The following is an 11,655-nucleotide window of genomic DNA, read 5'->3' as shown; positions in this document are numbered from 1 at the left end:
ACTTATTTATTTATTTATGTATTTATTTATGTATTTATTTTGAGATGGCATCTTGCTCTGTCACCCAAGCTAGAGTGCAGTGGCACATTCTTGGCTCACTGCAATCTCCGCCTTTGGGGTTCAAGAGATTCTCTTGCCTCAGCCTTCCAAGTAGCTGGGACGACAGGCGTGTGCCACCACGCCTGGTTAATTTTTGTATGTTTAGTAGAGAGGGGGTTTCACCGTGTTGGCCAGGCTGGTCTCGAACTCCTGGCCCCAAGTGCCTGCCTGGGCCTCCCAAAGTGCTGGGATTATAGGCGTGAGCCACTGCACCCAGCCTCTGGGATTTTAAATTATTTTTATTTACTTTTTAATGTATGTTTTAAAATCTTTCTATAAGGTATATAAATTACATATTCGATTTTTAAAGCTTCTAGTTGTTAAAAGAAAAATGCCCTGTGCATAAGATAAGCTATCACTGTAATTTAATTTTCTGACTTTTCTTTCTGAACACAGATAAAATCATGCCTATTTTGCACTTAACACAGGAAGTGGTTTCTAGAGTAGCAGAAAGTCTCAGTGACTTCGAGGTACATAATTCTACCTCTAAGGCAGCGTCATCAAGATTATATTTACATGTGTTTAGTTCAGTGAAGTAGTTGTCTCAGGTGCTTGTTTAGATCTAACATCTTCAAGGAATGTCAGGAAGCCTAGAGGCTGAAGAAAGATGCAGAATATTTTCTAAATGTCTGGCAATGAGGAAAATCCGTCAGTATTTTCCTTGTGATTAACTTGTTGATGGATTTTCTTTTAAAGAAGTCAAGTAAAGAGAAACTATCCTAAGGGAGCGGGAACAAAGGCGGGACTATTCTGACTCACTCACCTCTGTGTTGATGGTGCCCTTTGGCGTCAGTTTCAAAGTAATTCATTCACATCTGCTCGGCAAGTACACATTGCATGCTCATTAATTCCAGGTGCTGTTAGGGTTCCCGGGGATGCAGCAGTAAAGAAAGCAGAGTTCCTGACCTCATGGAGCAATACTTGCATGTGGGAGGAGACAGATGTGGCAAATAAGTAAATATATAGCACATCAGCGGTGATAAGTAAGTGAAAAAAACGAATGGTGAGGGGGGTTGGGCCTGCCTGGAGGGCGAGAGGGCGGGGGAAGCCATAGTTCTGCTTTCAGTAGGGTGCCTGCAGGATTCTTCCATAAGGAGACATTTGTACCCAGACCGAAGGGGAAGGGAGGGAGCAAAGGTTGTGGTATCTGGGGGAAGAGCCCTCCAGAAGACAAAGACCCTGAGATGGGAGCATACTGATGGGGCCTGCAGGGACAGCAGCCGGGGCAGGGAGATCAATGGAATGGGGAGTGAACCAGGCTGTGTAGGGCAGAATATGGGGTCTTGTAGGCCACTGAAAGCATTTTTCTATTTTTAAATTCTGAGTGAGACCTGATGCGATTAAGGGATAGGGCACAAGACAGTTACTAACAAGAGGCACTAGGATGCTAAAGACTCATGGAGACTAGGCTGTAAGGGACAAAGTCCAGACGTGGGGAGCCATTAGGGGCTGTTGCCCATCCTGAAAGATGATAGAGGCTTGCGGGGGATGGGGAGGGAGGTGACAGGAAATGGCTGGATTCTGGATATAATTGAAGGCAGAATCCACTGGATTTGCTGGGAGATGAAGAGTGGGGTTTTTCCTGAGCAGTGGAGTAGATAATGGCTCTATAATCAGAGAAGGTTTTCGGCAGATGCGTTTCAGTTATCTACTGCTGAGTGACAAACAAACCAACCATCCTGCACTTAGTGGCATGAAACATCAGCAATCATTTGATTTGCTCACCAGTTGCAGCCTGGGCAGGGTTCGATGGGGACGGCTGCAGGTGAGATTAGTTAGGGCAGCTCAAAGGTTGGCTGGAGCCATCTGAGGCTTGTTACTCACACGTCTGGCTGTGGATGCTGGCTGTCAGCTGGGCCGTCAGCTGCGATGTCAGCCAGAACTCCTGCACCTCCTCGTGTTGGGGTTCACTCCCTCATGGCATGGCGGCTGGGCTCCAAAAGTGGCCTCCCAAGAAAACAAGATATGAAGCAGGTGACATTTTCATGCCTTTGCCTCAGAACTCCCATAGTCTCATTTCTGCTGTCCTTTATTGCTTGAAGGAGTCACGAAGATTGGTCCGAGTTCAAAGGAAGGAGACACGGACCCTGGCCCTGGATGGGAGGGTGTCGATGTCACATTGTAGAAGAACATGTGGGATAGGAGGTATTGTGCCCATCTTTGGTCAATGTCGTCTGCCACGTGAAGGATGCAGAAATCAAGATTTGTAGAGCATAAGCTGCTTGTTAACTATCACAGAGGGATGTTGAGTTGGCAGATGGATGTATGAGTCAAGAGAGGTCAAGGTTGGGGAAATACACGTTGGAGGCTTTATTATACAGTTGATATTTAAAGCCACCTGGAATGAGGAGAGACGTGGTGGTGGGAGGAGGAGGAGGAGAGGAAGGAGGATCAGGATAAGAGAGAGTTTATTAAGCATTGCATTTTTTTTTTTTGAGATGGAGTCTCGCGTTGTCACCCAGGCTGGAGTGCAATGGCGCCATCTTGCCCCACTGCAACGTCCGCCTCCCAGGTTCAAGCGATTCTCCTGCCTCAGCCTCCCCAGTAGCTGGGATTATAAGCACATGCTGCCATGCACAGCTAATTTTTTGTATTTTAGTAGAGACGAGGTTTCACCGTGTTGCCCAAGCTGGTCTCGAACTCCTGAGCTCAGGCAATCCACCTGCCTCAGCCTCCCAAAGTGCTAGGACTACAGATGTGAGCCACCGTGCCCAGCCACATTGCATAATTTTTATTGAGTAGCTCTATACTTAGCCTCGTGGGAGGTACTTTGCACAGCTTAGAGCAAGATGAAGGCCTCCCTGCCCCAGCCCCAGCCCACAGTGAAGCAGGCCTCACTCTGTACCACCATAGAACTCGGCTCAGTTTCTGACTCTGTATTTTTCTCTTGCTCCCCGTGCCCCTGGTGCTGGAGCGCTTAATTAGATCTAACAAGGTCTCTTTTGTCCTTGTGCTTTGGAGTGTCTTCAGGCTTTCCCTGGATAATGATAGCCAAAAGTATTCAGAGTTTTAGAAAACCTAAAACCTAAAACCTTCAAAAGGGCAATGTTGAGAAATAAAGAAATGAATTATTCCATTGTTAAGCAACTCATGTCTGAGTAAGAGAAAACTTGAATTTATGGTGGTTAAAGTATATGTGAGATATTAAAAACAAAAGAGAGAGAGAAAGAAAAAAAACCCAGAAAGCCATTTTTTGATCCTCAAGAGATCAGATGAAGTTTCTATGTGAAGCATTGAGAGATCTTTATTTTATGATAAGGCTAAATGCCAGATTGTCAAAAAAAGGGTCAAATATAAACTTCTTTGCATAATACGTAAATCCATTAATAATCTGACCCTTTCTTTTCCAATCTCCTCTACTAGCAACCTCCAGTATATTCTGGTTACCCTGCTCCAAAAATGCTCTAAACATGCCATGCCTGTGTACTACTTCCCCATGGTTTATTCTCCCTCTCCATTTCTGGCCAACTCCTACTCATCCTTTAAAACTCAGCTTGAATGTCATCTCCTCTACAAAGCAGGTGGTTGTAGTCACCTCTATTAGTGTTCCCATCTTTTGTATATACTTCCTATGATTCTGATCACATTCTGCTTAATATCTTATCACATCCTGTCATGTATATGCTCATCTCCTCTAGCAGTCAGTTTTTTAAGGGCAGTAAACCTGGGTGCTTTTTTGTTTTTTGCAGTCCCAGTCCCAGCAGTGCTGAGCAACAGAAGAGATAAACACCACAGTTTTTAGGAAGTTCAGTTGCATAAGAGATGACAGTAGAGGCCCCTGCATGTCTATTGCAGACAATTACTTACGGGCTCACAAAAGAATATTCTCTGGTTTTGCCCAGTGGGATGCACTGTCCTACAAAGGCTGAAGATTTTGGGGAGGCAACAGACACACCAAACAGACTTCCTTTTCTATATCTTTCAGTTGCTGACACTATTAAGAAATAGAGACTGGGCATGGTGGCTCACACGTGTAATCCCAACACTTTGGGAGGCCGAGGTGGAGGATTGCTTATGACCAGGAGTTTGAGACCAGCTGGGCAACATAGTGAGACCCCATCTCTACCACATACACACACACACACACACACACACGCAAATTAGCTGGGCGTGGTGGCAAGCCCCTGTAGTCCCAGCTACTCAGGAGGCTGAGGTGGGAGGATCACTTGAGCCTGGGATGTTGAGGCTGCAGTGAATCATGATTGCACCATCGCATTCTAGCCTGGGAGACAGAGCAAGACCTTGTCTCAGGAAGGAAGGAAGGAAGGAAGGGGAGAGAGAGAGAGAAAGAAAGAAAGAAGGAAAGAAAGGAAGAAAGAGAGAAAGAGAGAGAGGAAGGAAGGAAAGAAAGAAAGAAAAGGAAGTAGAGAAAGAAAGGAAGGCAGGCAGGCAGGCAGGAAGGAGGAATTCCCTTCTGATTTGGTAGGAATTAGAAGATTCCTCTACTCTATCATTGTCATTGTAAAACATCTCTAGAGTAGTTGTTTGAGGCACACAAACTCCTTTCCAACATGATATTACAATACCCAGATTTCTGGTGTCAAGCCACATGTCAGTATGAACGGTCCTGCACAGATGACGTGTTCAACTTTCATGGTTGTCTCTACCTTCCATTCCAGCCTGCTCCGCCTCCTGGATTTTCCAGAAACCTCTGGCTTCTCCCTTCTTCCTCAGGGGTGTGTGGCTCTCTGGTGGGGAATTATCAACCAACATAGTGGGAGATGCTGAAGCCCGAGCGATGAGCAAAGTGAACACAGAGCACTGGGAAGCTGAGGTGCAGATGCACGAAGGGAAGAAGCTGGGAAGAAGCTGGAGGAAAGGAGTGAAGGAAATAGGATGATGGAGCCAAAACTGGGACTAGGGAGGCCAGACCTGGGAAAGAAGGTGGGAGCTGAAGTGGGGATCCTGAGGATGTTAACTGAAAAACCACGAGATCTATAAGCAACTCTTTAACCGAAAGGAGAGACTCTGCTGGTAGAAGTTTACCTGTTGGGGGTGACTCAGGCAGAGCTAAGCTAGCCCTGCAATGACTCCAAATGATCCTGCAAGGTGGGGGCAGACACAGGAGAGGAAAACAGCCCCATCCTGGCCTGCTGGTCAAAGCACACACGTGTGCTCTCTTCTCTCCCTCCCTCTCTGCTCTGTCTCTCTCTCTCCCTCCTTTTCTCTCTGTTTCTGTCTTTCTCTCTCTGTACCTTGGCAGCTAACCTGGCATTCTGAACTCCACCCCCAACCCTGTCGGTGCCTCTTTTGACCCTGAGTAGCTCTTTTCTCTCTTTCCCTACTTCCTACTTCTTACCACTGCCTGGAGAGGTTATTCTTAGCCACTTGCTGAACAGTTACTTGTTTCATTTAAACAAACAAAAAAGAAACAAAACCTGCCTAATGTGGCAGTAGACTTGAATTTAAAGAAAATGTATTTCAAACTGGGAAGAAGAGAAAAATTTTTTCTTAAATGCAACTTATTTTCATTGATTCTGAAAGCAATACATATTTATTGTAGAGAGAAATTGGATTGTACAGAGAAGCACAAAGAATAAAATTATAGTTATCCATTATTCCATGGTCAGAGATAACTGGAATTAACATAAGGATATTGCTTTGGCTTGAATGTTTGTGTCTTTTCCAAAATTCATGCTGAGGCCGGGCGCGGTGGCTCACCCCTGTAATCCCAGCACTTTGTGAGGCTGAGGCAGGTGGATTGCCTGAGCTCAGGAGTTCTAGACCAGCCTGGCCAACATGGTGAAACCCCAACTCTACTAAAAATACAAAAAATTAGCCAGGCGTGGCGGTGCATGCCTGTAATCCCAGCTACTCAGGAGGCTGAGGCACAAGAATCGTTTGAACCTGGGAGGCGGAGGTTGCAGTGAGCTGAGATTGCACCACTGCACTCCAGCCTGGGTGACAGAACGAGACTCTGTCACAAACAAACAAACAAAACCAAAATTCGAGTTGAAAGATAATCCCCAATGTAACAGTATTAAGAAAGAGGTGAGGTCTTTAGGAGGTGATTAGACCGTGAGGACTCTGCTCGCATGATTGGATTAATGCCTCATAAAAGGACTTGAGGGAGCCAGTTCAGCCCCTTCTTCTCTTCCACCAAGTGAAGACTCAGGGTTTGTCTTCTCCCTCAGCAACAGGGTGCCATCACAGAAGCAGAGAGCAGCCCTCAGCAGACATCAGACATGCTGGTGCCTTGATCTTGGGCTTCCCAGTCTCCACAACTGTGACAAATACACTTCTATTGTTGATAAATTACCCAGTCTGTGATATTTTGTTACAGCAGCACAGACTAAAACAGAAATATATGCTTTTTAGCCTTCTACACACACACACACACACACACACACACACACATTATTGGGATATAGTGTATGTATTGTTTCATAATCTACTTCTTTCACATGAACACTTTATGGTGAATGTTTTTCCATGCTAATATTTTTTCCATAAAGATATTTTAAATCATGACATAGTATTCTATTTGAACATATCAAAACATTTAATCTACTATTATTGGACATTTAAGATATTTCAAAAAAAATTTTCTTTTTGCTACTAGCAATAGATTTGTCTTTTTTTTTTTTTTTCTTGAGACAGGGTCTCACTCTGTCACCCAGGCTGGAGTGCAGTGGTGTGATTTTGGCTCACTGCAACCTCCACTTCTGGGGTTCAAGTGATCCTCCCCCCTCAGCCTCCTGAGTAGCAGGGACTACAGGCACACACCGCCACACTCAACTAAGTTTTGTATTATTATTATTTTAGTAGAGACGGGGTTTCACCATGTTGCCCAGGCTGGTCTCAAACTACTGGGCTCAAGCAATCCACCCACCTCAGCCTTCCAAAGTGCTGGGATTACAGGCACGAGCCACCATGCCCGACCACTAGGTTTGTCTTGAACAATCTGGTACTGAAATCTTTACCCACATCCATGGCTATTTTCTTAGCATAAATGTCTAGACATAGAATAGCTGGATTAGAGGGATGTGCATCTTAAATTCCTGGTACATAGAGCCAAATTAGCCTTCAGAAAGCTTATGCTAATTTTCCTGTCAGCAATGCTGTTTCTCCAAACTCTAGATAACCCTGGCTAGTATCAGTTTTTTTTTCTGTTATTAATTTTCTTTGGTTTTGAGACAGAGTCTTGCTCTGTTGCCCATGCTGGAGTGCAATGGCACGTTCTCAGCTCACTGTAACCTCTGCCTCTTGGGTTCAAGTGATTCTCATGCCTCAGCCTCCTGAATAGCTGGGATTACTAAAAAAAGTACAAAAATTAGCCAGGCACATCTCTACTAAAAAAAAAAAAATACAAAAATTAGCCAGGCATGTACCATCATGGCTGGCTAATTTCTCTATTTTTTTAGGAGAGGCAGGGTTTTGCCATGTCAAACTCTTGGCCTCATGCAATCCACCCGCCTCAGCCTCCCAAAGCGCTGAGATTACAGGAGTGAACCACCACGTCTGGCCTATTAATTTTTAATGTAATTCTATTGAGATCAGAAAATATACTTTGTATGAATTTAATCATTTTAAATTTATTGAGATCTAGTTTACAGGCCAGAATGTAGTCTGTTTTGGTGAATGTCCCATGAGCACCTGAAAAGAATTTGCATTTTGCCATTGTTGGATGAAGTGTTCTATATATGTCAATTAGGTTAAGTTGGTTGCTAATGTTATTGAAATCTTCTATATCCTTTCTGATTTTCTGTGTACTTATTCCATCAATTAATAAGAGAGAGATGTTGGAATCTCCCATTATAATTTTGAATTTGTCTATTTTCTCTTTCTACTAGTTTTTCCTTCCTGTGTTTTAATGCTCTGTTATAAGGGGCACACACATTTAATCTTGCTATGTCTTCTTGAAGAATTGACCTGCTCGTCATAATAGGATGTTCATCTTTATCCCTGGTAATATTCTCTGTCCTGAATACTACTCTGTCTGCTATAAATACAGCCTCTTTAGCTTTTTTCAATTAGTGTGTGTATGGCATATCTTTTCCCAGCCTTTCACTTTTAAACTATTTATGTCTTTATATTTAAAGTGGGTTTCTTATAGACAGCATAGACTGAGTCTTGCTTTTTTGTTTTTTGACGCTAACCTGACAATTCTGCTTTTTACTTTAATTTTTAATTTTTTTTTTTTGACAGAGTCTCACTCTGTCACACAGGCTGAAGTGCAGTGGTGTGGTAATAGCTCACTGCAGCCTCAAACTCCTGGGCTCAGTGGCTCCTCCTGCCTTAGCCTCCTGAGTATTTGGGACTACAGGTACGTGCCTCTGTGCCAACCTAATTGTTGCTTTTTAATTGGAATGTTTAGACCATTTATTTGATGTAATTCTTGATACAACTGGGTTCCATCTACTATCCTGCATTTGTACCCCAACCCCATGTTTGTCCCATCTTCTTTCTTTTCTCGTGCCTTCTTTTGGAATAATTGAGTATTTTTTCTAATTATACTTTATCTCAGCTCTTAGCTTATTAGCTATGCCTCTTTGTTCTATTTCTATTTTTTACTGGTTACTCTAGGGTCTACATATACATCTTTAACTTACCCCAGTCTTTCTTCCTGTATAGCGTAAGAACTGTGCAGGGGTACACCTCCATTTCTGCTTTCCTTCTTTGTGCTGTTGTTGTCATATGTCTACATGCATCATAAATCCCACAATACATTGATTTTTTATTTTATTTTTTTGAGATGGAGTCTTACTCTGTTGCACAGGCTGGAGTACAGTGGTACAATCTCAGCTCACTGCAACCTCTGCCTCCCGGGTTCAATCAATTTTCCTGCCTCAGCCTCCTCATTAGCTGAGATTACAGGCATGCGCCACCACGCCAGGCTAATTTTTGTATTTTTAGTAGAGAGGGGGTTTCACCATGTTGGCCAGGCTGGTCTCGAATTCCTGACCTCAGGTGATCCACCCGCCTTGGCCTCCCAAAGTGTTGGCATTACAGGCATGAGCCACCGCACTCAGCCCCCACAATACATTTAGACCAGAGGTTGGCAAACTTTCTGAGCTAGATAGTAAATATTTTTCACTCTATACAGTCTCTATTGCAACTACTTAACCTTACTCTTATAGCACAAAAGCAGCCATAGATAAGACGGAAATAAGTGAGCATGGCTGTGTTCCAAAATATTTTTATTTACAAAAATAGGCAGCAGGCAGGATTTATCCTGTGGGCTGTAGTTTATGATCCCTGCTTTAGGTAACAAAAAATTATATCTGGAAGAACACGATGTTGTCTTTTTTTTTTTTTTCATTTACCTATGTATTTATCACATTGGGCACTCTTTTTCTTCCTTTTTTCTTCTTTTTGAGATCCCACATTCTACTTGGTATCATTTTTCTTCTCCCTGAAGAACTTTATTGTGAGGGAGGAGAGAGACCCTCTCATATTGTTTTATATTGTTTTATACTCAGTACCTGTTTTAAGAAAAAAGAAAAAAAACAAGGAAGTGAAATCAAAGACAGGCAGCCCAGCGCCAGTCCCAAAACCAGGCCTGGGCCTGCCTGGCCTAAACCTAGTAGTTAAAAATCAACTCATGACTTAGAACCCGATGTTACCCATAGATTTCAGGTATTGTATAAAAGAACATTGTGAAACTCCCTGCTCTGTTCTGTTTCTCTCTGACTACCAGTGTATGAAACCCCTGTCACGTATCCCCTAGATTGCTCAATCAATCATGACCCTTTCATGTGAAATCTTTAGTGTTGTGAGCCCTTAAAAGGGACAGAAATTGTGCACTCGAGAAGCTCGGATTTTAAGGCAGTAGCTTGCCAATGCTCCCAGCTGAATAAAGCCCTTCCTTCTACAACTTGGTGTCTGACAGGTTTTGTCTGCGGCTCGTCCTGCTACAATTGAACATTTCTGTAGAGCATGACAGCAATACATTATCTCAGCTTTTGATTGTTTGAAAAAAATCTTTATTTTGCCTTCATTTTTAAAAGACATTTTTGCTTGGTATAGAATTCTAGGTTGACAGGATTTTCTCTTACAGTCTTGTAAAGCTCTCTCTCCATTGCCTACTGGCTTCCATGATTTCTGCCAATAAGGCAACTATAATTATTATCCCTTTTTATCCTATATAAGTAATTTTTTTCTGGCTGCCTGGAAGATTTCTCTTTATCTTTGAGTTCTCAGCACTTTGACTCTAATGTTCGGGTGTATTTTTCTTTGTGTTGATCCTACTTAGGGTTTTCTGAACTAGGACCTATGGTTTTGTTGTTTTTGTCTAATGTTAGAAAATTCTTGAGTACTATGTCTCAGATATTTCTCCTGTCCTATTTCTTTTTTCTCCCCCTGGAATTACTGAGCTTCAACCTATTCTTCGTTTTTTATTCTTCCTGGGACTCCAATTGCATGTATGTTAGACTTTTTGAAATTGTTTTATGGTGCTTGGATTTTATCACCACTACCACTGCCAATACAATTACAACCATCGCCTTCACCACCTTCATTACCACCATCACCACCTCCCCTCTGCCTTAACCACCACCTTTACTACCACCACCATTATCATCATATCCACCTATATGATGGTTACAGTAGGGCAGGTATTATCCTACGCACCCTATATATGTTAACTCTTTAAATCATCGCATCAACACTGTAATATAATTATACACATATTATGTTATTCTAATTTTACAGGACTTGGGAGAGGGATCTGGACTGAAGTGGAGGAATCCAGTACAAGTAGTGGAGCCGTCTGAAATCTTGGTTTGTGTCTACAAATGCTATTCCAATATTTGAAGCTAATAAGTCAATTTAAGTTTGCGCAGGGAAATACATTCAATCAATCATTCATTCATCCAACATTTATAAGCTGTCTCCTGTATGACAGAAAGATGAATAGCCAACAAAGGCTAATGATAACCCTCCCCTCCTGTCTCCCTCCTTCCTCTCTCTGCCAAAGCATGAGAGGTATTTGAATAATCAGTTTCCACTGTTCCACCTTTTCATGGAAGAACACAGGCTTTGAGATCTGGGCCTGGTCTCCCCATTTAGGCCAGATTCTCTGTGGCTTTCAGAGCACCTTTGGCTATAGGTATTGCTTCCCACCTCCCTTCCCTTTCCTCCTCAGAACTCTTCCTGCTTTGGCCCTAATGACAAGTTGATAAGCTAATAGCTTTGAGGCCCCAGGACTAGAGGTGGGCAGCTCAGCTGCTTCCTAGAATTCTGAGCTTGTGAAGTTTCTTTTTTTCTTTTTCTTTTTAGAGATGGGGTCTTGCTCTGTCATCCACGCTGGAGTGCAGTGGCACAATCATAGCTCACTGCAGCCTCAAGATTCCTAACTCAAGCAGTTCTCTTGCCTCAGTCTACCAAATAGCTGGGACTACAGGTGCATGCCACCATGCCTGGCTAGGCTTGTGAAATTTCTATACAACAACCTCATTTCTCTGTTTCTTACATTCTAAACTCCCACGAAGTAAGTTTGTGGATATTTGACTTGCTGAAAATCATACAAATGAACTTTCCTAATTCTATTTTCTCTGTGGAACACAGATTATTAAAGTGAGAATTAATGTGTGCCTGGGACAGTTTTGGCTTCCA

At 42.9% G+C, this 11,655-nt stretch overlaps 3 long non-coding RNA genes across 3 annotated transcripts in view, besides 2 other annotated features; 1 reads left to right on the top strand and 2 right to left on the bottom strand.

Moving 5' to 3' along the window:
- Nucleotides 1–572: part of an enhancer, noted in NCBI's record as "NANOG-H3K27ac hESC enhancer chr1:229389520-229390393 (GRCh37/hg19 assembly coordinates)", that runs on past the window's edge. NCBI's record gives its function as "activates a minimal SCP1, AML or CMV promoter by ChIP-STARR-seq in primed H9 embryonic stem cells {active_cell/tissue: H9 hESC(primed)}" and the evidence as "EXISTENCE:reporter gene assay evidence [ECO:0000049][PMID:30033119]".
- Nucleotides 1–995, bottom strand: part of LOC124904540 (uncharacterized) — a 4,931-nt gene extending 3,936 nt beyond the window's left edge. Inside the window, exon 1 of the long non-coding RNA XR_007066924.1 lies at nucleotides 863–995. This is a non-coding gene — a long non-coding RNA (uncharacterized LOC124904540). The remainder of the gene's footprint in view (nucleotides 1–862) is intronic.
- LOC102723935 (uncharacterized) overlaps nucleotides 1–11,655 on the top strand; it is a 14,009-nt gene extending 2,354 nt beyond the window's left edge. Inside the window, exons 2-3 of the long non-coding RNA XR_426935.4 lie at nucleotides 10,753–10,821; nucleotides 11,320–11,655. This is a non-coding gene — a long non-coding RNA (uncharacterized LOC102723935). The remainder of the gene's footprint in view (nucleotides 1–10,752; nucleotides 10,822–11,319) is intronic.
- Nucleotides 573–1,447: an enhancer, noted in NCBI's record as "NANOG-H3K27ac-H3K4me1 hESC enhancer chr1:229388645-229389519 (GRCh37/hg19 assembly coordinates)". NCBI's record gives its function as "activates a minimal SCP1, AML or CMV promoter by ChIP-STARR-seq in primed H9 embryonic stem cells {active_cell/tissue: H9 hESC(primed)}" and the evidence as "EXISTENCE:reporter gene assay evidence [ECO:0000049][PMID:30033119]".
- Nucleotides 2,535–4,709, bottom strand: TMEM78 (transmembrane protein 78). Its single transcript, NR_172940.1, has one exon. It is a non-coding gene; the product is annotated as a transmembrane protein 78 (long non-coding RNA).

This window comes from Homo sapiens, chromosome 1 (genome assembly GCF_000001405.40).
Source record: "Homo sapiens chromosome 1, GRCh38.p14 Primary Assembly".
NCBI classification, from domain to species: Eukaryota; Metazoa; Chordata; class Mammalia; order Primates; family Hominidae; genus Homo; species Homo sapiens.
Note: the sequence above shows the minus strand (reverse complement) of the source record. Positions and strands in the feature narration are given on the sequence as shown.